We start from the raw sequence: 27,792 nt of genomic DNA on the forward strand, positions 1-27,792 counted from the left end.
AAATGAAAATATATAATATTTTAAGTATGTAAAGATTTTTTATAAATATTGGCAAAATATTCTTAAAATGAAACTTAACTGAGCAATTAAAATGAATTCTAGAGATTCCTGGATCAACATGTACAAATTTCAAAAACAATTTTAAGAGAAAAGAGCAAGTTTCTTTGTCCACACTGTATGATATTATTTATATAAAAGATAAAAGCCTGCAAAAGAATGCAGTGCATTCTTGTATACATATACATATATATGTGCATGTATGTGTGTATGCCTATAGATGTATATAAACATATATGTTTATATAAACATATATGCATGAAGTTATACATGGGGATAGAATAAATGGAACTGGATCTCTGATAGAAACACTGTGAGCCTCGATTTTATATCTAGTTTTAATATTTGTAAAATCTAAAACAAAACAAATACAATTTTATATTAAGATTTTGTAGTTTGGTGGCATGTAGATATAAGTTTATTTTTTTCTATTCATGTTTGCTTCAACAGCATTTATACTTATATAATTCTATGCTATTCATTATATACTATTTATGCTTGTGTAAATGCATGCTTATCATAAAAATTCCTTGAGAAGCCTGAAATGGTCAAGTTATAAGATAAAAATAAAAACTATCTTGCAAACAAGAAATATCTGACCTTGAATGATTAACTTAGTTACTTTTTGCAATTCTGTTTAACTCAGTGAATCCCAAGTTCTATATCCTCTATCTCTACCTGAATGAAAATTTGATTTTCCAACCAGCATCAATGTTAAGCATGCAACTCTAATGTTCTTTTAATTTCCTTATGTGTATGAGTCTGTTCTGACACTGCTATAAAGACATACTGGAGACTGAGTAATTTACAAAGAAAAGAGGTTTAACTGACTCAGAGTTACACATGGCTGGGGTGGCCTCAGGAAACTTAAAATCCTGGCAGAAGGCCCCTCTTCACAGGGCAGCAGGAGAGAAAAAGAGAACCATTAGGAGAAATGTCAGACACTTATAAAACCGTCAGATCTTGTAAGCACTTGCTCATTATCACGAGAACAGCATGGGGGAAACCGTCCCCATGATTCAATTATCTCCACCTGGTCCCACCCTTGGCACTTGGGGATTATTATAATTCAAGGTGAGATTTGGGTGGGGACAACAGAGTTCCCATACCATTATGAGAACATAAAATTTAAAAAGTGGAACAAATTCGATTAATGTTTATTGTTTCTGAAAGTAAACTTTCATGTTCATCCCCTTTGAGAGAAACAGTCAAACAGGTAAAGAGAGGGCTAGATGGAGCTTGCCGCTCACCAGCTGGAGTGTGCTTCTTAGTCCCCAATTTAGAGACAGCAGGTTCCTATGCTGAAAGCTTTCTGTGCGTTTCAGAGAGATGTTTATAATTATCCAGTGTTAGGGCAGCAGCAGCCCCATTCCACATCGTGATGTTGTAGTGGCGCCAAGGTTTTATCAGTCTTCAGTATTTCTGGAAGATTTCAATTTAGAAAACCGAGAAATGATTTTTCTCCCCTTGTGATTGAATTCATTTCCCCAATTAACAAATATACGCCAGTGGAAATTACATAAGTTCAATAAAATACAATTTTTGTACTTCAATTATGGAGCTATTGTTTCCTCCTATGAAAATACCTTGTCTCCTCTCAATATTACATTGAACCTCCTCCTCTCCCAAAATAAGATTTCCCTACTAAAATATTGAAAACTAAATTTCCAACATGTGAATGAACAAAGCCAGTTAAGGATAATAGCTGGAGCTGGATATGATAAGGCAAAAATTTCTGGTTTGTGTAATCAATCCTGTTACCAATTCTACTAAAATCCCAGACCTGATTGATCATTAGCATTTACTGAGGATTCTTTGTTGCCAATTGAAACTACCTGAATGAGAACCTCTGAGTGGTGGGAACCATGAATTTTGGTTTTTAATAAGGCCCTGAGAACATCTTGGTGATTGTCTATGTTGGCCATGGTTCTCACCTAGACAATGTGTAAATTAATTTGATTGTGCTAATCATTACACAATGTACATGTATATCAAATCATCATGTTGTATATTTTAAATATATACAATTCTTTATTTGTGAATTAAATATATCTTTAAAATCTCAGTGTCAAGGCCATGATTACATCAATTAAATTGGATGTGCTGGGAACGGAACCAGGCACTGGCAGTTTCAAAGTCCTTCAAGTGATTCCAGGGTTTCACAAAGACTAAGAATCATTATACTGGTTCAAAAACATTTTTTAAATGCCAAAACTATAGTTTGGGTTGCAATGACAAGAAGACTTATCTACCTCCAATGCAGTGCAAATAGAAATATTTAAATTATCTCTTTAAAAAAGTATTTTTTTTCAACTTTTTATCCTGTCTCCTAATCCCAGCAACAGGATGTTTCACTATTCCTTGTAGTTTCTTATGAAGACGCATTAAAAAGTTACCACTCATTTTCTGTTATATACGTCAATAGCCATATAGTCTATAACCAGGTTTCTCCTAAGAGGAATAAAACATGCTAAACTTTTTTTCTGTCAATAATCATGCTTCAGCTGAAAAATTGTTAAAATAAAAATTAAGCATTTGCAAAACTGTTTTTAAGGAAGATTCAGAGATATGCAAATATCTAGGCACAATTTGATACCATGTTCATGTTAAAAGTATAACTTTCAAAAGTGAAAAAAAAAATGACCATCAAACAAATATAAAATGAATGCAGGGCCAGGAGAGGTGGCTCATGCCTGTCATCTCAGCACTTGGCGAGGCTGAAGCAAGGGGATCACTGAGCCCAAGGGTTTGAGACCAGCCTGGGTAACATAGTGAGACACCGTCTCTACAAAAAATTAAAAAAAAAAAAAATAGCTGTGCATAGTGACTCACGCCTATAGGCCCAGCTACTCAAGAGGCTTAGGTGGGAGAATCGCTTGAGCCCAGGAGGTCGAGGCTGCAGTGAGCTGTGATCATGCCACTGCACTCCAACCTGAGTAACAGAGCAAGACCCTATCTCAAAACACAAACATACACGCAAAGACATGAAAGGATATCAAAGATTTTATTCAACTTATTAATGAGGGAGTCAGTAAGCTTATAAAGCTGGTTCAAAGAGTATTTAAAGAGGTTTTTTTTTTTTTTTTTTTGAGACGCCCAAGGTGGAGTGCAGTAGCGCAATCTCGGCTCGCTGCAAGCTCCGCCTCCCGGGTTCACGACATTCTCCTGCCTCAGCCTCCTGAGTAGCTGGGACTACAGGCGCCCGCCACCACGCCAGGTTAATTTTTGTATTTTTTGTAGAGACGGGGTTTCGCCGTGTTAGCCAGGATGGTCTCGATCTCCTGACCTCGTGATCCGCCCGCCTCATCCTCCCAAAGTGCCGGGATTACAGGCGTGAGCCACCATGCCCGGCCTTAAAGAGGTAGGTTGTATACCCAATTTAAAGTAATGTTATTCTAAGTTTGTTAAATTGGATAGAAAACTGGCTAAAATCCTACTGGTCCAGAGTCTGTGACACCTTGGGACATATGTTCTCTACCAGACAGAAACTATTTGTATCTCTATCAGCCAAAAATCTACAAGTTAAAGTGTAACTTCATTTAACTGGGGACCATTAGCTAGCAATGAGTCACACAAGGTCTATTCCTCCAAATAAGCCCTTGCTGGGCCTGTTAAATTGCCCCCAAAGGACACTGAGAGATAGACACTTGCATTTTTGTCTTATGGTCATGTTGTGAGTAATTTTTAAAATATCTATATATCAGCCACTACTTAACTACATTTTCCTTAAGCAACTTTAAATGAAAACATTTTACAAAGTTAAAATACAGATACTCATACATCGCTAGGTGAGGACCACCCTCTCTCCCTTTAGGTCCTGACTTGGCCTTAAACTTCCCAGCATAGCCTAAGAAAGTCACTACCGAACACGAATCAGACTGGGCGCAGGTGACCTAACCTTTCCGTGTGAGTATTAAGGTGTGCTTTCGCTCCTGGGTAGAAACACTTCCTGGTGTCACATGGAGTTCAATGGAGCTGACGCAACTTTCTTCCTGCTGCCACTCAACTTGAGAAAGCTCATGCCTATAAGTGCTGAACTCAGGGAGGCAATTCCAGGTTTGTTCCTCAGTTCTCCAAGAGCCACCTCCTGCTTTATGTGGCTCAAAAGACTGAGGAAGCAGAAAGAACATGCCAGACTCTCAATCAGCTTGCAGCGAGCCTTCGACTCCAAGCTTCCCGATGGGAGAGCAACAGGCGTCCCAAACAATTCAGTTTCCTTAGTCTCAAACACTACTTTATTAATTAATTAAGTTGCACTTACACAGTCTGTATGAGTTAAAGATAATTTATTTTTAACACTCAGGACCAGAATAGCTTTTGTTTTTATTCATTTATTTATTTATCTTTATTTATTTTATTTTTTTTTTTTGAGACGGAGTCTCACTCTGTTGCCCAGACTGAGCGAAGTGGCGCAATCTCGGCTCACTGCAAGCTCCGCCTACCGGGTTCACACCTTTCTCCTGCCTCAGCCTCACGAGTAGCTGGGACTACAGGCGCCCGCCACCACGCCCAGCTAATTTTTTGTATTGTTAGTAGAGACAGGGTTTCACCGTGTTAGCCAGGATGATCTCAATCTCCTCACCTCGTGATCTGCCCGCCTCGGCCTCCCAAAAGTGCTGGGATTACAGGCATGAGCCACTGCGCCCGGCCTGCTTTTATTTTTTAACTTCATCCAACCTACTCTTTACTTACTGTTTGCATGCATTATCCCTATTGATTTAATTCATCTTAGGGGCAGATTACTCATTGCCCCACAGTGAATATTAAGTTTTAATGGTGTAAGCTAAAAATAAAATCCTAAGCCCCTGACAGACTGAACAGACTCCCTGTTGACCAAGGAGACCCCAGAAAATCTAAGATGAATTAAATCTTATAATCTCTATGTTAACATTAATGATAGTAGCTTGTGCCTAAACTCCAAAAGGTGGAAAGTGTAACGAGGCATGTCTGACCGCCCTTCCTGTCATGGCCAGGAATTCAGTTTTTAATGTTTTTCTGGGATCTCCATGACCAACAGGGAGTCTGTTCAGTTGGCTGGGGGCTTAGGATCTTATTTTTAGCTTACACCACTAAAATTAAATATTAAACAGACTCTTTGTGGCAATAAGACAGCAAATCATAAAAAAGACCTAAAGCTATGTAAGGAAAGAGTTGAGTCATGCCCTGCAAACCATAAAATCTTGTTAAATGGGTTTTTTAATTAACCGAGTATAATGTGGCTTACTTTCCAACCTGACTCTAGTATAACATCATATGGCAGATAGCAGACCCCCTTATCTTAAGCACTTCTTGCTACTGACTTGAAGTCTTCAGACAAAGCTTAACTCTTTCAACCCATTGTCAACTAAAGAATCTCTAAAACCCACCTATACCTTCTAAGCCTCCATTTCAAGATGCCCTGCCTTTTTGGGCTTAACCAAGGTATGCTTTTCATGTATTGATTTATAATTTTACCTACAATTTCTGTCTCCCTAAAATGCATAAAACCAAATTGTAACCCCACTGCCTAGGGAACACTTACTCAAGGCTTTTGAGTTTGTGTTTTCTCCAGGCTGCAGTCACTTATATTGGCTCAGAATAAATTCTTTAAAATATTTCAGTGTTTGGTTTTTTCATTAACAATGGAGACTCACTGCAAGCTAAAAAAGTGGAGAATTTCCTCGTAATGTGAGGTGGACTTAAATAGAAGTATTTCAGCAGCAGCCCCAAATTTCTTTTGACAGACACCCCCCACCACACCCTCACCTACCATCACTTCCCTCACTGTATCTCTCATTCTCGTCCCTTTTCTCTTGCCTTCCTCCACCACCTGCACTCTTCCTTGTCCCTCAGTCTGATGCTTGTTTCCCCTAGTACCCCTTCTTTCTCCTCCCCACTGTCACTCCCAGCTGCCCTTCCTGGGACTCCTCTCCCTGCTGTTGCTTCACCTTCCCCCGTCTTGACACCCCCTTTTCCTCCTCACTCCAATATCTCCTCTCACTTCCATGCCCTTTCTGCTCAGACGAGCTCCCTTCCTGGACCTGTGCTTCTCCCAGACCCCATCTGGACCTGCCCTGCTCCTCCACTCTCCTGTGCCCTCCCCAGCCTTGCCAGCAGGCAGGCATTTCACTCAGACTTCCCATCTGGGCTTGATTTACTCAGACGTCTGATGGTTACGTCACTGAACAACTTTTCTGAATCATCTTACTACTGTGAAAAAGTATAGCCTGGTGCAGTGGCTCACACCTGTAATCCCAGCACTTTGGGAGGCCGAGGCGGGCAGATCACCTGAGGTCATGAGTTCGAGACCAGCCTGACCAACATGAAGAAACCCCATCTCTACTAAAAATACAAAAAAATTAGCTGGGCATGGTGGTGCATGCCTGTAACCCCAGCTACTCAGGAGGCTGAGGCAGGAGAATTGCTTGAACCCAGGAGGAGGTTGTGGTGAGCCAAGATCACGCCATTGCACTCCAGCCTGGGCAACAAGAATGAAACTCCATCTAAAAAAAGAAAAAAGGAAAAGTATAAATTTACAGATTTCTCTACTAACCAAAGGGCAATATACCAGTGTTCCTTGTTTTAGGCCTGGTTCTGACTAATATTAACACCTCATCGGAACTGGTAAGTAGCAAAACTACTGGAAAACCCACTAGCCTAGGATAGAATAAAAATCTGACCCTCAGTGATAAAGAATTGACTTCAGACTTCTAGGAAGGATACCAACACAGAAGCCTGCTTGCAAATCTCCTTAAAATGAATTTTGAAGAAGATAATTTCCTCTACTCTAACTAGGAAATGACTAAAACTTCATACTGGCAACTTCTCAGCACATTGCGCCTGATATAATAATGTTTTGAAGCAAATTGAAAGAAACTGTTTGGAGCTGATAAAATCCTCATGATGCCAAGCATAAGCTCAATGGATCCCTGAAGGCACCCCTACCCCAGCAGTGGGAGCTGACCTTTTGTTTAAGAAAATAATTATTCTTGACACTTGTTAAGGGACTGAAAGGCAAACTTTATTCCGGGGACTACTACAGTAGGGCTTTGCAGTGAAGAGAGAGATTGGACTCAACTATGAATACAAGAAGGAAAACTTGGGGGTGTATAGACAAGGATCAAAGTGGGGGTGGGGGTGAATTAAAAATTATTAAGAGGGTGGGGTAATGCTTTGCTAAACTGATCTAACAGGATCTATCTGAGAGCAGGCCCAGGGTAACCAGAGATCACCTGGGGGTAGTGAGCATGAGGAATTTGATCAGATGTGGATAGTGATGTAAATCCAAAAGTCTCTGAGCCAAGTCTCAATCAGTCTAGAAATGTTATTTTTCCAAAGTTAAGGATGTACCTGTGACACAGCCTCAGGAGTTTCTGACGACTGGTGCCCAAGTTGGGGGTACAGCTTGGTTTTATACATTTTAGGGAGACATGAGACATCAATCAATTATGTGTCATTTTAGGCAGACGTCAATAAATTATAACATGTTCATTGTTTCAGTCTGGAAAGGCAGGACAACTCAAAGTGGGAACTTCCAGGGGATAGATAGATGAGAGACACTTGCATTCTTTCAAGTCTTTGATCAGCCTTTCGTTGAATCACAGTTTATATGTGAGAGAAGGAGTAGAGAAATGGTCACTTATGACTTAGTCTGGCTCAGTGAATCTGCATTTTTGCATAAACAATAGGACAGAGGAACAATCAGATATGCGTTTGTCTCAGGTGAGCAGAAAGATGACTTTGAGTTATGTCCTTTGTACCATACCTGTGAAGATAAGCTATTAATTTACATTGGCAGGCCGGGTGCAGTGGCTCATGCCTGTAATCCCAGCACTTTGGGAGGCCAAGGTGGGTGGATCCCTTGAGGTCAGGAGTTCGGGACCAGCCTGGCCAACATGGTGAAACCTCATCTCTACTAAAAATACAAAATTAGCCAGGTGTGGTAGCATGCGCCTGTAATCCCAGCTACTTGGGAGGCTGAGGCAGGAGAATCACTTGAACCCAGGAGGCAGAGGTTGCAGTGAGCTGAGATTGCATCATTGCACTATAGCCTGGGCAAAAAGAGAGAAACTCTGTCTCACAAAAAATTTTTTTTACATTGACAGTGACATTCAACAGAACTGTTTTAGGGTAAAGATTATGAGGCCCACAAGGAGTTTCACTGTGGGCAAATTGTGAGGGAGACATGCAGCTTTTTTACCTTTGCAATTATCTTATTTAGGAATAAAATGGAGGCAGGTTTGCCTGATGTGTTTCCCACCTTGACTTTTCCCTTCGGCTTAGTGATTTTTGGGGTCCCAAGATTTACTCTCTTTTCACAGGGATCAGATTTTGATGGTGGCAGATTCTGGCTAAATGGGTTTGACAGAATTACGGCTAACACTGGGCTATTGAGAACATACCCAAAGATGAGGTCCAGTTGAAAATGAGCAGAGAAGACCCTGAGGTGAGTTTGGTCAAGAAGAGAATCTTTGTCAGGGGTCAAATGCAATATATGAACACGGAATGGACACCCATTAGAGAAGGACACCTTAGTTCAGATTGGCAGTGAGTGAACTTAGAGAGGGACCAGGAAAGGAGCGATTTTAAATTAGTCTGTCTCCTAAAATTAACTTGAAAAGTGTGATTGGAGCCAAGTCAACAATCCATCTGCTGATCAAAGGCGGCCCTGCAAAAGAAAGCACTCACTGACCCACTCAGCAAAAACCCTATGAACTGTGATCAATTGCTGTAAACTAGACTTTACACATGCAACCTGCTCCACTGAAAGTGGGGTCAAAAAGAGCCCACACCCAAAAGCAACTGGTTATACCAAAAGATGCTTAGACTCTCCAGTGTTTACAGAAAATGATACCTAAGTAAGAAGGAAACATTTGTCACCCATCCATTGGCAAAAATTAAAATCATTAATAAGCCCTAATAATAGAAAGGATGCAAGCACTGGTACTCTCTTCACGAAGTATTGGTGGTTCTGTAAATGGTAGAAACTCATTGGGAAGTAGTATTACTCTGGGTACCACGTCATGAAACAGGCTTGCCATTTATAGAATAATTTCACTCCCAGAATTGCCCTTAGAAATTAATTGCACATGAGTTAATAGAAACAAGTGCATGAATACTTATTGCAGCTGTGAATATGGAAGTGCTTATACAGCAGAGTCTGCATCTTGTCTATGGAATACACTAGGTAGCTGTTGGAGAGAAACAGGCAGATATTTTTATATCAAACAAAGTATCTTGCTAAGACATATTGTAAACTGGAGAGTTTTAGAATAATATATATTCATGTAAAATGCATTTGTAGATGCATAAATACATAAATATGTACGCACATTCATTAGAGTAAAAGAGGGTGATCCCAACCAAATTTGTGGCTATGGAAACTTCCAGGCAGACTAAAACTGAGAATTGAAGAGGAAATTTCTACTTTTCTATATTTTTCTTTTGTATATGGATTTTTTGCGTATTTCATAAAACTAAAACACATTTATGAATGACATTTATAACAAAAAGGGAAAAACAGAAATTAATTGACAGTAGAAAAAGAGGTTTGACAAATTCATCACTTCTTTTTTTCAAAATCTAATAAAACAAATCACAATACTAATCAGAATAAAAGATAATAAAAATATACAAAACATAAAAAACCTAAAACATTTTAAAATTTAAAATAGCTAAAGTTCAGCAACTATTAAACTATTTTAACAGAATACTTTGTAGAAAGCTATAATAAATAGCAAACTTATTTTGCACCTGTTATGTGCCAGGAACTCTTTGTGTTTTACAAATATTAATTTCTGAAAACTCTGTAAGTGTCATTGTCCCATTTTACAGATGAGGAAATTGAGGCACAGGGAGTTAATTTTTTTTTTTTTTTCTGAGATGGAGTCTCGCTCTGTCGCCCAGGCTGGAGTACAGTGGCGCAATTTGGCTCACTGCAAGCTCCGCCTCCCAGGTTCACGCCATTCTGCCTCAGCCTCTCGAGTAGCTGGTACTACAGGCGCCCACCACCATGCCCAGCTAATTTTTTGTATTGTTAGAGACAGGGTTTCACCGTGTTAGCCAGAATGATCTCGATCTCCTCACCTCGTGATCCGCCCGCCTCGACCTCCCAAAGTGCTGGGATTACAGGCGTGAGCCACTGCGCCCGCCAGAGGCACAGAGAGTTTAAATAATTTCTGTGACGCCGCAGAGTTGCAGTAACGAAACTTGGATGGAATGCTGTAAATATGGCTCCAGAGGCCATGATCTGAAGCTCTGTTTTCCACCACATCCACCAGCACAAATCAACAGTCAGCACTATACTTAATTATTAAACATGAAATGCTTTTCCACTGTCATTAGTGGCAATCCAAAGATTCCCAGCCACATACCAGTAAACTCTAGCAAGAGAATAAAAAAGAGGGGGCAGTGTTAGAAGACATTAAAGTGGCCATTATTTGCAAATGAAAGAATGGAATAACTGGGGAGAAATCTCAAACCACTGAGAATGTGATAAGCCAGAAGTTAGGTTATAACATGACAAAATTAATACATAAAATTCAAAGTTTCTTACATATCACCAATACAGTTAGAAAATAAAACAAAATGTTGGCCCGGCACGGTGGCTCACGCCTGTAATTCCAGCACTTAGGGAGGCCGAGGTGGGCAGATAACCTGAGGTTGTGGATCATGAGGTCAGCAGATTGAGACCAGCCTGACCAACATGGCGAAACCCCGTCTCTACTAAAAATACAAAAAATTATTTGGGCATAGTGGCGGGCACCTGTAATCCCAGCTTATTGGGAGGCTGAGGCAGGAGAATGGCTTGAACCCAGGAGGCAGGTTCCAGCCACTGCACTCCAGCCCAGGCGACAGAGTGACAAAAACAAACAAAAAAAAAAAAAGAAAAGAAAAGAAAAGAAAATTTATTAAAAAAGCAAAATTCAGGAAAATGAAATGGAATTTAGCTATGTACAGAAAGTATTAGCGATGTGAATATGTGAGTCAGTAATGACATTAAATTCCATCTATAGAAAAGGTAGAATTTAAAGTACATCTTAAAAAGGACAAAGCGATTGCCACTTAAAAGGTGTAACTTAACTGCATCCCAGAACAAAGTTCAAATATATTTTTATAAACAACAACACCAGCCACTCAACAGCATACATTCCTCATGTTCAACAACGAATCAAATATTAGAAAGACAGGACTCATACATTTGAGAAAATCAATCAGCAGAAACAGATCTCAAAGTGATTCAAAGAATACACTTAGCATGTCAGGACATTAAAACAGATATAAATGTGTTCCATATGATCAAAAAGGTTGGAAAATATGAGCACCATGAGGGAAGGAATGGTACATGTAAAATAAGCCCCAAACAAACTTATAGAGATGAAATACAATATCCAAAATGAAAAGTATACTTGATGGAATAAACAGCATGAGACATTATAGACAAAAAGATGGGTGAACCTAGAGACATAGGAATAAAAACTACCCAAAATGACACACAGAGATCAATAAAAGATCAGAAAGCATATCAGTGAGCAGTGGGACAGCACAAGTGACAAAGCATGTGAGTAACTAGAGTCTGGACAAGGTTGGGGGCAGGATATTTAAAGAAATAATGGCCAATTATTTTTATAAATATGATGAAAACTGTTAAAACCCAAAGTTCCAAGATACCCAAAAGCATCCAAGCAGAAGAAACAAGAAGAAAGTCATACCAGGCACCTCATAATAAAATTGCTGAAAACTTGGTTTAAAAAAAGAAAATATTAAAAGCAGCTGTAGAAAAAGGACATATTACATAAACAGGCAAAAAGATTTTTTATATAACAGGAAATAAAAATGTCTCATTAGAAAAAAATGTAAAGCAGAAGAAAATGAAGCAACTTTTAAAAGTAGCAAAGGAAGAACATGATCTTTAAATTCCATACCTAGAAAAATATTTTTAAAACACAAAGGCTAAATAAAACCTTTTTGAGACATACAAAATCTGAGAGAACTAATTGCTAGCATACCTGCAGTACAAGAAATATTAAAGGAAGCCCTTCAAAGTCACAAGACATTATAATAGACAGAATGAAGAAAATCAGAAATCACAAGTATATGGTTAAATACACAAATTTTTTCTCATTTTAAAATCTCTGTTAAGGCAATTGTTTAAAGCAAAAATAATGGGAAGCCTCGCACACTGTTGGTGGGCATGTAAATTAGTATACTCGTTATGAAAAAATAGTATGGAGTTTCCTCAAAAAAATTAAAAACAGAACTACCATATAATCCAGACATTCCCCTACGTGGTATATACTCAAAGGATAGGAAATCAGTACATAAAAGTGGTATCTGCACTCCCATATTTTTGCAGCACTATTCACAAAAGGCAAGAGACGGAGTCATCCTAAGGGCCCTTCAATGGATGAAGGGATAAAGATATTGTGGGCTGCGCACGGTGGCTCACACCTGTAATCCCAGCACTTTGGGAGGCTGAGGCGGGTGGATCACGAGGTCAAGAGATCAAGACCATCCTGACCAACATGGTGAAACCCCGTCTCTAGTGAAAATACAAAAATTAGCTGGGCGTGGTGGTGCGTGCCTGTAATCCTAGCTACTCGGGAGGCTGAGGGAGGAGAATCGCTTGAACCCGGGAGGCAGAGGTTGCAGTGAGCCAAGACTGCGCCACCGCACTCCAGCCTGGTGACAGAGCAAGATTCCATCTCAAAAAAAAAAAAAAGAAATTTTGGTATATATACACAGTGGAATACTATCCAGCCACCAAAAGGAAAGAAATCCTGTTGTTTTTGATAACATAAATGAACCCAGAGGATATCAGGTTAAGTGAGATAAGCCAGGCACAGAAAGACAAATCTCACTTATATTGCATGATCTCACTTATATGTGGAATCTAAAAAAAATTAATCTCATGCAAGTAGAGAGTAGAATGGTGGTACCAGGATCTGGGGTGTTTGATGATAGTGGTTGGTGTTGGGGGCAGAGAGATGAGGAAATGTTGGTCAAAGAATACAAAATTTTACTTAGATAAGAGGAATAAATTTAAGAGAATTATTGTACAATATGCTGACTATAGTTAGTTAACCATAGATTGTATTGTTGAAAAATGCCAAGAGAGGGGTATAATATGTTCTCACCACAAAAATGATAACTCTGCTATATTAAATGGTATGAATATGGAAAGTTAAGTTAAATAAGATGTGCATGACATTAAATTTATATTAAAATTTTAAATGGCAACTATAATATATATATATATATTTTTTTTTTTGAGTCAGAGTCTTGCTGTGACACCCAGGCTGGAGTGCAGTGGTGTGATCTCGGCTCACTGCAAACTCTGCTTCTGGGGTTCCAGTGATTCTCCTGCCTCAGCTTCCCAAGTAGCTGGGACTACAGGTGTGCACCACCACGCCCAGCTAATTTTTGTATTTTTAGTAGAGATGAGGTTTCACCGTATTGGCCAGGCTGGTCTCGAACTCCTGACCTCAAGTGACCCGCCTGCCTCGGCGTCCCAAAGTGCTGGGATTACAGGTGTGAGCCACAGCTCCCAGACAACTATAATAATGTTTAAGCTATTCTATTGGTAAGCTGAATCACATAATCCAAACTATGTATTTAGCTTTGGTTTGCTCACTGTATATGACCACAATTTTGTTTGAAAATGTGTTTAACCTGCTAATAATAACAGTAGAAAGGGAATTTGGCTAGCAGGTATGAGACTGCTTTCTAAGCATATCTCTGCAAATGATTCACTCTTGCTACTTTACCAAACAAGTGGTAATTTTATCACACTAAATCATGTATCAAAATAGCCTAAAAGCTATAATTGTTATATGAATACAAATTGTATGTGTTATTATCATTAATTTTACTATTAAGAACATAATTTTACATAAATTGGGTTCGTTCACTGTTTTTATACATACACATTTCCAAGCAAGTGCAATTAATGTGGCAGTCATTTGATGAGGCCCATGTTAGCGGTGGGATACATTTTCCATTGTGTTTTTCTATCATTAGGTAATAACTTCAATTTGTCCATTTGGAAGATAAAAGTACAGAGTATTCCACAAGTATTTGGGCCAAACTAGTAGCTTTTTTTTATTTTTGTTTTATATTTTGATATTTTCTGCCTTTTGAGATTTGGAACACAAGTTAGATTGATGAAAGTATTAATAGCTACCATTTATTAATTGGCACTATATTATGGCAATAAAATGATGTCCATAATAGTAAAATTAATAATAACAATAATAACAATACATACAATTTGTGTTCATATAACAGTTATAGCTTTCAAGCTACTTTGATATATGATTCAGTGTGATAAAATTGCTATTTGTTTAGTAAAGTAGAAAGTCATTTGGAGAGACGTAATTAAAGCTGTCTGCATTTAAACCCTGACTCTGTCATTCACTAGCCTCACGACTTTGCAAAGTTGTTAATTTCTTAGCCTCACGTTCCTCATCGGTAAAATGTGAATAAACATATCTAGCACAGTAGGGGATGGTGAGGCTTGAATAAAGTAGTTCATGTTAAACTTTTAGAAGATTCCCAGTACACAGTAAGGACTTACACTATTCCTTCTGTTACCCTCCATTATATTAATATTTGTTGTGGAGCAAATTACTTGAAAACACTCTGTAATGCATGTGTGTAAGGGCATTCTAATAAACACTTTAGTGGTGGTTAATCCATTTATGAAGTATCCTTTCTCTGAATCAATACCTTAAGCTTAGATAATTCACATAGGGGTACTCAAACTAATTTCTTAGTTGGTGCAATTGCTGTCCTTTTGCACCCGTGACTGGAAAGAGTGGTATGGCAGAGCTTGTCACCTTCGCCTACACAGGACATAAGAAACAAGGGTCCCGGGCTGACCCTGCTGCTTCCACTTCAGTTTGCATTTTGCCACCAGACCCAGGTGTAAGTCCTGCCTGCTGAGCTTGACATTAGCATCTAGAACATTTTCTCTGAGAAGAGCCTTTCATGCCAAGTGCCTCTGAGGTTCTGATGGCAGTGGGCATGGCTCCTACACGTGCTTGCTTCTGCACGTGTGTGTTTGGCAGGATGTGCACCAAAACCTGCTTCCACTGTGACTTACTTCTTGGTAGCCAAGGCTGTAGAGATAGAACGTCTATATGATGACGCCTACTGATACCAAAGTAACTTGACACTTGCCACAGCACCAAATTTTGTGGGTCCATCTTGCCCCACTTTGTCAGGATCTGTGACAAGCACTTTGTCTACAGTGTCTCAGTGACTTTTCATAAAGATTTCATAAGATTCCTCATCTTACAGATAGGGAATCTAGGGGTCAGGCGGAGAAGCAGCCCTTCTTGCAAGGAAACCATGTTAGTGACAGCACTTGGACCCAGGAGGTCTGACCAGAAACGCCGACCCCTGGATCAATACACTATGTTTTCCCAATGCGAACAGTTCATTGGCTATTTTATAGCCCCTTAAACAATAGTGGTTGAAGAAGTCCTGCACTAATGTTAAACAGATTATATATATTATATCTGTATAGACAGATCAGCTGCTATGTTTCCGTGAAACATCCTTTTATTTTAGGAAGTGCATGCTCTTTGAATACATTTTATTTGTTTCCCCAAATGCTACTTAGTACTGATTCATGCAGCGCATTCATTCACCCTTCATTGTTGTTGCTATTGTTATCTGGCTCTGTAGAGCTGTTTCAATTCATCATCGTTTGAATTACATACTATTCTTAGTAAAATGTTTGTTAAATAGCTGAAAGGAATTTTTTTTTCTAATTTAAATATTTGGAAGAAAGATAGAATACTTCTTGGCCCATTATTAAACAATTAACTCAAGTAGAATATATTTGGAATCCCCTCCCACTGTTTTGTTTAAACACCCAGCTTTATGCTGCAAGGAAGAAAATGGTAAGTTTTGCTTTTATACTCTCTTGTACATAAGAGAACTCTATGGTGCATTTTCATAATAGCCTTACCCAAATTTTCTTGGCCAATCTTCCTAGACTTACCGTGACAATCAGATCTTTTTAACTCTCTGCCTTTGCTGGATGATTCTATGCAGGGTTTTGTGAAGTGAAACTTGTAGGATAGATGGCCCATGAGTACAAATAGAATGTGTTCACTCTGACCTCCATCTAGTTAGCATTTGGGGGAAGGAGGCTGTCAAACAACAGGAGGTAAATTACACTTCTTCTTCTCAAAAATATTACAAGAGAACATGCGAAAAATTTTAATTTATGTGAGTGGAAAGACCAGAGGAATGGGTGGATCCTGACAAATAATCTATGTTTAAAATAATCTATATTTAAAGATATTTTGAACAAATGAAATTTATTCAAAGTTGTATGGACAGATGGTGGAGTTAAATTAAGTCTTCTGCATTTGCTTAAATATGGTTGCTGAATGTGTCATTTGAAAAAACTACAATAACAAGTTATTCACATAAAAATATTTGTCAGTGGGCAAAATGTGTGTGCATGCCTGCATGTGTGTGTGTTTTAAAGAGTAGTTACTTTATTGTTTTTACAGAAAAAACTAAAATCAATCATGTGAAGACCAGTTTGATCTTATCCCATTGTAAACTGGAACAAGATTCCAAGGAACTTCGGAAATGATCTCATCTAAGTGGTGTGGTGTGTCCTTTGTGTGCTAGAAGTTTGAACATAATTAGGCAAAGATAAAATAATGTTTATAATCCCTATGCCTTATTTCATCTGTGTTATAAAACCTCAAATTTTATGGGTAGATGAGGATAATGAAACCAGGTAGCTTTACTTCTTAGACAATTAGCCATTTTGCAAAAACATAGATTTTCATCTAACAGTGTCATTTTTTCAAGTTTTCTATTTTAATCATCTTGCAAAAATCAATCGAACAGGACTATAATAGAGTAACTTATAGTAAACCAATACTTTCACTGAGAGCAACTAGAAGAGTTAGGTGAAAATACACAAAACATCTGTATTAGTCAACCAGGACCTCTGAGGTCAAATTCCAGAGAGACGCAAAGCTCATTTACTGTGATTAAGTGAAGAAATAATAGAGGTCCCATATATTTTTATCCTAGTTGTTCACAATGTTAACATTTCAAAATATCAGGGTAAAATATCACAAACAGTATATTGATAGAATCCACTGATCAGATTTTCCTAGTATTATTCATACTACCCGTGTGCATATGCGTGTGTGTTTACTTCTACGCAATTTTATTATATGTGTAGGTTTGTGTGTCCACCACTACAGTCGTGATAAAGTTTCAGCAACACAAGGATGTCTTGTGTTGCCTTTGGATAATAATGCTTACCTCCCTCATGTCCACTCCCACCCCCACCCATCCCTAAACCCTAGAAGCCATTGATCTCTTCTCCAATTATAACATTTTATCACTTCAAAAATGCTAAATACATGAAATCATATAGTATGTAACCTCTTGGGATTGGCTTTCTTTACAAAGCATAATTCCCTGAAGATTATTCCAAGTTGTGTATCCATAATTTGTTTCTTTTTATTGTTGACTATCCCAAGGTATACATGAATCATGGTTTGATCATTCATCTATTGATGACATTCAGGTTGTTTCTGGATATGGCTATTTTGCATAAAGCTTCTTAAAGAAGTCATGCACAGGTTTTGTGTAAAGTTTCATTACTCAGGAATAAATGCCAAAGAGTGCAGTTTGTATAAAATGTATAAAATACATCTACATGTATTTTATATACCAGTTCTTAGTCAGATATGTGGCTTACAAGTATTTTCTCTCTATCTGTAATTTGTCTCTTCATCCTTTTAACACTGGCTATCACTGAGCAAAAGTTATTAATTTAGATGAGATCAATTTGTCATATTTTTATATGAATCACACATATGGAGTAAAGTTCAAGTACTCTTCATTTATTTTTACAAATTCCCCAAATTTTCTTTTATCTTTTTTGCAAAACTGAGAGTTTTATATTTTAATTTTAGTCTGTGATCCATAGTGAGTTAATACTTATATAGGATGCAAAGTTTAGTTGGAGGTTTCCTTTCTATACCTATGGGTCCTATTGATCCAACATCATTTGTTGAGTAAGCATCCCTTTCTTTATTGAATTGCTTTTGCACCAGTGTCAATAATCAGTTGGGGTACTTCCAGTCCAGATAAGATTCTGAAGACTCCTTTACCCTCTTCTCTCCAGCAGTTACAACTGTATACCTTGGAAATAATGCAAGATGTGACTACATGTGATTTTTGAGGGGTAGAAAGAGGAAGGTGAACTGCTTTGAATGACAAGACTGAAGGAGAAACATGACAACTGGAGTCTCTCATCTCCTCACCCAACACAAGAACACAGGCTGTCCAACCCTGGTGTTTCTTACCAATATGAAGGTAGCCCCTATTTGCATATTTCTCCCAAAACTGAGTGAGAGTCCTGAATACAAGGGCAAGTCAGTCCAGCACCACTGCTAACATTAAGCAGCCAGGGGGTAGTGTTTTTTACCATTGAACCTGGGATTCCCCTCTACCACTAAGAGATACAGGGTGCCCAGATGGCACTAGAAAGAGAAACCACACTACAACAAGTGCCTAGCCCAGGAAGCTGCTTTGTATTCACAGGCCTGAGATGCCACTCCACCACCTAGAGACATCAGAGTAGCCAATGGGCACCTCCAGGGAGTATTCTGCCAGAACAAGCACAAGAGCACAGATGCATTCTCCATGCCCAAAGACAAAGAGGATCCTACCACAGCAAGCCCCAAATTAGGGATGTCTCCTTATCTCCATAGGCCTAAGATTCCCATCCCTCACAGAAAGACACTGGTGGCCTAGCCAGGGGAAACCCCATATGGCCCCTTAGGCACGACCAGTGGTAACTAGAGGGAGCCCCTGTGGCAACAGGTAAACTGAGGAGAACAAAATAGCACTATGAGGCTCCTTAATGAGATTAACAGCTGATTATGCATTCAAAATTATGGAGTCCAAAAAGCAGTAGATGACATAGTGAAAGCACTAAAAGAAAAACGCTATCAACAACAATTCTATATTCATCAAAAAAACCTTTCAAAAACACGAGAGATTAAGATAGTCTCAGATAAACAAACACTGGAGAATTTATCATTAGACCACCTGCTTTACAAGAATACTGAAGAGATTCTTTCTAGCTCAAAAGAAAAAACACTAGCCAGTAACTCAAAGCCACATAAAAAAATGAAGAATACCGTTAAAGGTAACTACATAGGTAAATACAAAAGACGGTATAAATAGATTTTTGTTTTTCTTTGTAACTTTTCTTTTTCTACTTGATTTAAAAAAACAACTGAATAAAGTAATAATTACAAAACTATGTTGATGGACCTATCATGTATAAAGAGGTCATTTGTATGATAATGGCACCACAGCTTTGCTTCATAAGAGCAAAGCTGCTATATACCCATAATATTATGTCAGCATTAATGAAAACAAAATGTTATAAATTAAGATGTTAATTGTGATCACCAAGGCAACCACTAAGAATATAAGTTGAAAAATGTAGTAAAAGAAAAACCAGAAGAATTAAAATGATACAGTAGAAATATTGATTTAATACAAAAGAATATAGTAATGGAGTATTAAATGAACAAAAATCACATATTACACAGAGAAACTAAATGACACAACGACAGGCACAAAACATACTTTAAAAGTTACATTAAGTCTAAATGGTCAGAGATGAGAAGATTAGATAAAATAGAACAAAACAAAAATGATCCAACTATATGTTGTCTATAAGAGACATACATTAGATTCAAAGACATACAAGTTGAAAGTAAAAAAGTGGAAAAATACATTATGCAAACTTTATAAGAATGCTGGAATAGCTATACATATCAGACAAATAGAGTTTTTACAAAAGATGTCAATAGACATAAAGAGAGATAGTTTATAATAATAAAAGTATTTGTCCATCAAGAAATTATAGCAATTATAAGTATATATGAACCTAAAAACAGAGCCCCATAATACACAGAGAAAAATGATAGAGTTGAAGAGAGAAATAGACAGTTCAACAATGCTAGTTAGTAACTTCAATATCATATTTTTAATAATAGAATAATTTGACAGAAATAGAAGAAAATAGAAGACTTCAACAACACTGGGCACCAACACCATTTAACAGACATTTTTAAAACTGTCTACCTAAGAACAGCAAAATAGATTATCTCCTCAGTATGCATGGAGCATTTTCCAGAATAGACCATGTGCTAGGCCACGAAACAAGTCTCAATAAATTTAAAAAGGCTGAAATTACATAAAGTGTCTCCTCTGATCATGTGGAATAAAGCTAGAAATAAACAGCAGAAGGAAATTTTTTAAAATTACAAATATGTGAAAATTAAAAACCCACTACTAAATAACCTGTGATTAAGAAGGAAGTTTTAAAAAAAACTTAGAAAATACTTTGATATGAATGAAAAACACAAAATGCCAAAAATTGGGACGTAAGTGAAAGCAGTTAATCCTTATTTTGGAGTGCAGCTAAAGCAGTGCTTAGAGAGAAATGTATAGCCCAAAGCACTTACATTAAGAAAAGAAGAAAGACCTCAAATCAGTAGTCTAGATTGTCACCTTAAGGAAAAAAAAATACAAACTTAAATCAAAATAAAAGAAAGGAAATAATACAGATTATAGTAGAAATGATACAAAGAATAGGAAAACAATGCATACCATAAACAATACTAGAAATTAGTACTTTGAAAAGATCAATAAAATTGACAAAACTTAGTTATAATGACCATTAAAAGATGTTCAGGCTGGGTGCAGTGGCTCACACCTGTAATCCCAGCACTTTGAGGGGCCAAGGAGGGCAAATCTCTTGAGCCCAGGAGCTCAAGACCAGCCTGGGCAACATGTTAAAACTTTGTCTCTACAATTAAAAAAAAAAGAAAGAAAATACAAAAATTAGCCAGGCTTGGTGGCACGTGCCTGTAGTCCCAGATACTTGGGAGGCTGAGGAGGGAGGATTCTTTGAACCCAGGAACCAGAGGCTGCAGTGAGCTGTGATTGTGCCACTGCACTCCAGCCTAAGTTGACAGAATGAAACCGTCTTAAAAAAATAAAAAAAAGTGCAATTGACTTTTGACAAGTATACCAAAACCATTCAACGGAGAAAGAACAGTGTCTTCTAGAAATAATTCTAGAAAAATGGATATACACATGCAAAAGAATAAAGTTTGACCTTACCTTAAACTGTATACAAAAGTTAGCTCAAAATGAAATAAAAAGACCTCAATTCAAAAGCTAAAATTATAAAACTCTGAATAAAACAAGGACAAACCTTCATGACCTTGGATTTGGCAATGTTTTCTTAAATACAACATCAAAGGCATAGACAACAAAAGAAAAAAGATAAATGAAACTTCATTAAAATTAAACATCTATGTGACTCAAAGGACACTATGAAGAGTGTGAAAAGACAAACCATAGAATGGAAAAAACTGCAAACCACATGTCTGCTAAGGACCTAATACCAAAAATATATAAAATCTCTTACTACTCAACAGCCAAAAAGCAAACAGTTCAATTAAAAATTGGGCAAAGGACTTGAATAGAATTTCTCCAAAGAAGAAATAAATGGCTTATAAGCAAATGAAAAATTGCCAATTTCATTAGCCATTAGGAAAATACAAATTAAAATCATGAAATACCACTTCACAACTACAAGGACAACTACAATAAAAGAAAGCAAAAACAGAAAATAACAAGCGTTGACAAAGATACAATAAAATTGAAGTTCTTACACATTTCTGATTAAAATGTCAAGTGGTAAAGGCACTGTGGAAAACAATTTGGCAGTTTCTCAAAAAGTTAAACATAGAATTACCATGTGACCTACCAATTCCTTGCCTAGTAATATAACCAAAAGATCGGAAAACAGAGACTCAAATGGATACTTGTACACCACGTTCATAGCAGCATTATAAAATGTAAAAAGAACCTAAGTGTCCACTAACAGATGTGTAAACAAAATGCAATCTATTTATGCAATGGAATATTACTCAGCCTTAAAAAGGAATGAAATGCTAACATGTGCTACAACATAGATGAACTTTGAAAATGTTATTCTAAGTTTAAAAAGCCAAATAGAAAAGAAGAAATATTATGTGATTTCACTTATATAAGGTACCTAGAATAGGCAAATTCATAGATAAAGAAAGCAGATTATAGATTACCAGGGGCTGTGATAGGGAGGAATGGAGATGTATCACTTAATAGGTGTGAAGTTTCTGTTACAGTGATGGAAATGTTTTGAAATAACTGTAGATAGTGTTGATAAATGTACAACATTGCGAATATAATTGATGCCACTGAGTTATACACTTAAAATACTTAAAAACGGCAAATTTTGTTATATATATTTTACCACAATAAAAAAAATTGCATAATGTTATCCTTCCTGCATTAGTCTTTTCTGAAACTATTTGATCTCTCTCATTTGCTTCTCCACGTAAATTTTCTAATCAGCTTTTCTATATCTACAAATAATTCTGTTGGGATTTGGATAAGAATTACATTAGACTTACAGATTTGGGAAGTACTGACACCTTTACTATGAAGATAAACACAGTATGTTTGTCCGTTTATTTTGTTACTCTTTGATTTATTTCATTTATATTTTGTAGTTTTCACTAAACAGAATCTGAGAAGGCTTTTTTAGAATATATATTTTAGCTATGTCCTTTTTGGGTTTTTTAGTAACTATAAATGTCAGGCCTCTGAGCCCAAGCCAAGCCATCGCATCCCCTGTGACCTGCACGTATACGCCCAGATGGCCTGAAGTAAGTAAAGAATCACAAAAGAAGTGAATATGCCCTGCCCCACCTTAACTGATGACATTCCACCACAAAAGAAGTGTAAATGGCCGGTCCTTGCCTTAACTGATGACATTACCTTGTGAAAGTCCTTTTCCTGGCTCATCCTGGCTCAAAAACACCCCCACTGAGCACCTTGGGACCCCTACTCCTGCCTGCCAGAGAACAAACCCCCTTTGACTGTAATTTTCCTTTACCTACCCAAATCCTATAAAACGGCCCCACCCCTATCTCCCTTCGCTGACTCTCTTTTCGGACTCAGCTCGCCTGCACCCAGGTGAAATAAACAGCTTTATTGCTCACACAAAGCCTGTTTGGTGGTCTCTTCAGACGGACGTGCATGAAATTTGGTGCCGTGACTCGGATCGGGGGACCTCCCTTGGGAGATCAATCCCCTGTCCTCCTGCTCTGTGCTCCGTGAGAAAGATCCACCTACGACCTCAGGTCCTCAGACCGACCAGCCCAATAAACATCTCACCAATTTCAAATCCGGTAAGCGGCCTCTTTTTACTCTCTTCTCCAACCTCCCTCACTATCCCTCAACCTCTTTCTCCTTTCAATCTTGGCACCACACTTCAATCTCTCCCTTCTCTTAATTTCAATTCATTTCATTTTCTGGTAGAGACAAAAGAGACATGTTTTATCCATGAACCCAAAACTCCAGCGCCAGTCCCGGACTGGGAAGGCAGGCTTCCCTTGGTGTTTAATCATTGCAGGGACACCTCTCTGATTACACACTCACGTTTCAAGGGTGTCAGACCACGCAGGGACACCTGCCTTGGTCCTTCACCCTTAGCGGCAAGTCCTGCTTTCCTAGGGGGCAAGAAGCCCCCAATCGCTTATTTCCGCACCCCAACCTCTTATCTCTGTGCCCCAATCCCTTATTTCTGCACCCTGACCTCTTATCTCTGTGCCCCAATCCCTTATTTCCGTGCCCCCACCCCTTCTCTGCTTTTCTGGAGGGCAAGAACCCCCCACCCCTTCTCTGTGTCTCTACTCTTTTCTCTGGGCTTGCCTCCTTCACTACGGGTAACCTTCCACCCTCCATTCGTCCTTCTACTCCCTTGGCCTGTGTTCTCAAAAACTTAAAACCTCTTAAACTCACACCTGACCTAAAACCTAAATGCCTTATTTTCTTCTGCAATGCCGCTTGACCCCAATACAAACTCGACAGTAGTTCCAAATAGCCAGAAAATGGCACTTTGAATTTTTCCATCCTGCAAGATCTAAATAATTCTTGTCGTAAAATAGGCAAATGGTCTGAGGTGCCTGATGTCCAGGCATTCTTTTACACATCGGTCCCTTCCTAGTCTCTGTGCCCAGTGCAACTCGTCCAAAATCTTCCTTCTTTCCCTCCCGCCTGTCCCCTCAGTACCAACCCCAAGCGTCACTGAGTCTTTCTAATCTTCCTTTTCTACAGACCCATCTGACCTCTCCCTTCCTCCCCAGGCTGCTCCTCGCCAGGCCGAGCTAGGTCCCAATTCTTCCTCAGCCTCCGCTCCTCCACCCTATAATCTTTTTATCGCCTCCCCTCCTCACAGCTGGTCCGGCTTACAGTTTCGTTCCGTGACTAGCCTTCCCCCTCCTGCCCAGCAATTTACTCTTAAACAGGTGGCTGGGGCTAAAAGCATAGTCAAGGTTAATGCTCCTTTTTCTTTATCCCAAATCGGATAGCGTTTAGGCTCTTTTTCATCAAATATAAAAATCCAGCCCAGTTCATGGCTCATTTGGCAGCAACCCTGAGACTCTTTACAGCCCTAGACCCTAAAAACTCAAAAGGCCGTCTTATTCTCAATATACATTTTATTACCCAATCTGCTCCCGACATTAAATAAAACTCCAAAAATTAAATTCCGGCCCTCAAACCCCACAACAGGATTTAATTCACCTCGCCTTCAAGGTGTACAATAATAGAAAAAAGTTGCAATTCCTTGCCTCCACTGTGAGACAAACCCCAGCCACATCTCCAGCACACAAGAACTTCCAAACGACTGAACCGCAGCAGCCAGGCGTTCCTCCAGAACCTCCTCCCACAGGAGCTTGCTACACGTGCCGGAAATCTGGCCACTGGGCCAAGGAATGCCCGCAGCCTGGGATTCCTCCTAAGCCACGTCCCATCTGTGTGGGACCCCACTGAAAATCTGACTGTTCAACTCACCTGGCAGCCACTCCCAGAGCCCCTGGAACTCTGGCCCAAGGCTCTCTGACTGACTCCTTCCCAGATCTTGGCTTAGCAGCTGAAGACTGACACTGCCCGATCGCCTCGGAAGCCCCCGAGACCATCACGGACGCCGAGCTGCCAGTAACTCTCACAGTGGAAGGTAAGCCCATCCCCTTCTTAATCAATACGGAGGCTACCCACTCCACATTATCTTCTTTTCAAGGGCTTGTTTCCCTTGCCTCCATAACTGTTGTGGGTATTGACAGCCAGGCTTCTAAACCTCTTAAAACTCCCCAACTCTGCTGCCAACTTGGACAATACTCTTTTAAGCACTCCTTTTTAGTTATCCCCACCTGCCCAGTTCCCTTATTAGGCTGAGACACTTTAACTAAATTATGTGCTTCCCTGACTATTCCTGGACTACAGCTATATCTCATTGCCGCCCTTCTTCCCAATCCAAAGCCTCCTTTGTGTCCTCCTCTTGTATCCCCCCACCTTAACCCACAAGTATAAGATACCTCTACTCCCTCCTTGGTGACCGATCATGCACCCCTTACCATCTCATTAAAACCTAATCACCCTTACCCCACTCAACGCCAATATCCCATTCCGCAGCACGCTTTAAAAAGATTACAGCCTGTTAACACTTGCCTGCTACAGCATGGCCTTTTAAAGCCTGTAAACTCTCCTTACAATTCCCCCATTTTACCTGTCCTAAAACCAGACAAGCCTTACAAGTTAGTTCAGGATCTGCGCCTTATCAACCAAATTGTTTTGCCTATCCGCCCCGTGGTGCCAAACCCATATACTCTCCTATCCTCAGTACCTGCCTCTACAACCCATTATTCTGTTCTAGATCTCAGACATGCTTTCTTTACTATTCCTTTGCACCCTTAATCCCAGCCTCTCTTCGCTTTCACTTGGACTGAGCCTGACACCCATCAAGCTCAGCAAATTACCTAGGCTGTACTGCCGCAAAGCTTCACAGACAGCCCCCATTACTTCAATCAAGCCCAAATTTCATCCTCATCTGTTACCTATCTCAGCATAATTCTCATAAAAACACACGTGCTCTCCCTGCCAATTGTGTCCTACTGATCTCTCAAACCCCAGCACCTTCTACCAAACAACAACTCCTTTCCCTCCTAGGCATGGTTAGCACGGTCAGAATTCTTACACAAGAGCCAGGACGACACCCTATATAGCCTTTCTGTCCAAACAACTTGACTTTACTGTTTAGCCTAGCCCTCATGTCTGCGTGCAGCGGCTGCCACTGCATTAATACTTTTAGAGGCCCTCAAAATCACAAACTGTGCTCAACTCACTCTCTGCAGTTCTCATAACTTCCAAAATCTATTTTCTTCTTCATACCTGACACGTATACTTTCTGCTTCCTGGCTTCTTCAGCTATACTCACTCTTTGTTGAGTCTCCCACAATTACCGTTGTTCCTGGCCCAGACTTCAATCCGGCCTCCCACATTATTCCTGATACCACACCTGACCCCCATGACTGTATCTCTCTGATCCACCTGACATTCACCCCATTTCCCCAAATTTCCTTCTTTCCTGTTCCTCACCCTGATCACGCTTGATTTATTGATGGTGGTTCCACCAGGCCTAATCGCCACACACCAGCAAAGGCAGGTTATGCTATAGTACAAGCCACTAGCCCGCCTCTTAGAACCTCTCATTTCCTTTCCATCGTGGAAATCTATCCTCAAGGAAATAACTTCTCAGTGTTCCATCTGCTATTCTACTACTCCTCAGGGATTATTCAGGCCCCCTCCCTTCCCTACACATCAAGCTTGATGATTTGCCCCACCCAGGACTGGCAAATTAGCTTTACTCAACATGCCTTGAGTCAGATAACTAAAATACCTCTTAGTCTAGGTAGATACTTTCACTAGATAGGTAGAGGCCTTTCCTACAGGGTCTGAGAAGGCCACCGCAGTCATTTCTTCCGTTCTGTCAGACATAATTCCTCAGTTTAGCCTTCCCACCTCAATACAGTCTGATAACAGACGAGCCTTTATTAGTCAAATCAGCCAAGCAGTTTTTCAGGCTCTTAGTATTCAGTGAAACCTTTATATCCCTTACGGTCCTCCGTCTTCAAGAAAAGTAGAATGGACTAAAGGTCTTTTAAAAACACACCTCACCAAGCTCAGTCACCAACTTAAAAAGGACTGGACAATACTTTTACCACTTTACCTTCTCAGAATTCAGGCCTGTCCTCGGAATGCTACAGGGTACAGCCCATTTAAGCTCCGTATAGACACTCCTTTTTATTAGGCCCCAGTCTCATTCCAGACACCAGACCAACTTAGATTGTGCCCCAAAAAATACTTGTCATCCCTATTACCTTCTGTCTAGTCATACTCCTATTCACCATTCTCAACTACTCATACATGCCCTGCTCTTGTTTACACTGCCGGTTTACACTGTTTTTCCAAGCCCTCACAGCTGATATCTCCTGGTGCTATCCCCAAACTGCCACTCTTAACTCTTGAAGTAAATAAATAATCTTTGCTGGCAGGACTATGCTGAATTTCCTTAGGCACTCTCTAATCAGATATCCTCAGTCGTCCCAATTCTTAGACCTTTTATACCTGTATTTCTCCTTCTGTTATTCCATTTAGTTTCTCAATTCATCCAAAACCGTATCCAGGCCATCACCAATCATTCTATACGACAAATGTTTCTTCTAACATCCCCACAATATCACCCCTTACCACAAGACCTCCCTTCAGCTTAATCTCTCCCACTCTAGG

The 27,792-nt window shown here is 39.2% G+C and overlaps 1 long non-coding RNA gene across 1 annotated transcript in view, besides 3 other annotated features; it reads right to left on the reverse strand.

Annotated features, from left to right (window-relative positions):
- Nucleotides 1-27,792, reverse strand: part of LINC01508 (long intergenic non-protein coding RNA 1508) — a 132,594-nt gene that overhangs the window by 89,043 nt on the left and 15,759 nt on the right. The window lies entirely within an intron of this gene.
- Nucleotides 22,139-22,876: an enhancer, noted in NCBI's record as "OCT4-NANOG-H3K27ac hESC enhancer chr9:93174359-93175096 (GRCh37/hg19 assembly coordinates)". NCBI's record gives its function as "activates a minimal SCP1, AML or CMV promoter by ChIP-STARR-seq in naive H9 embryonic stem cells {active_cell/tissue: H9 hESC(naive)}" and the evidence as "EXISTENCE:reporter gene assay evidence [ECO:0000049][PMID:30033119]".
- Nucleotides 22,877-23,614: an enhancer, noted in NCBI's record as "OCT4-NANOG-H3K27ac hESC enhancer chr9:93175097-93175834 (GRCh37/hg19 assembly coordinates)". NCBI's record gives its function as "activates a minimal SCP1, AML or CMV promoter by ChIP-STARR-seq in naive and primed H9 embryonic stem cells {active_cell/tissue: H9 hESC(naive and primed)}" and the evidence as "EXISTENCE:reporter gene assay evidence [ECO:0000049][PMID:30033119]".
- Nucleotides 23,615-24,352: an enhancer, noted in NCBI's record as "H3K27ac hESC enhancer chr9:93175835-93176572 (GRCh37/hg19 assembly coordinates)". NCBI's record gives its function as "activates a minimal SCP1, AML or CMV promoter by ChIP-STARR-seq in primed H9 embryonic stem cells {active_cell/tissue: H9 hESC(primed)}" and the evidence as "EXISTENCE:reporter gene assay evidence [ECO:0000049][PMID:30033119]".

Source organism: Homo sapiens, chromosome 9 (assembly GCF_000001405.40).
Source record: "Homo sapiens chromosome 9, GRCh38.p14 Primary Assembly".
In the NCBI taxonomy this organism is placed as follows: Eukaryota; Metazoa; Chordata; class Mammalia; order Primates; family Hominidae; genus Homo; species Homo sapiens.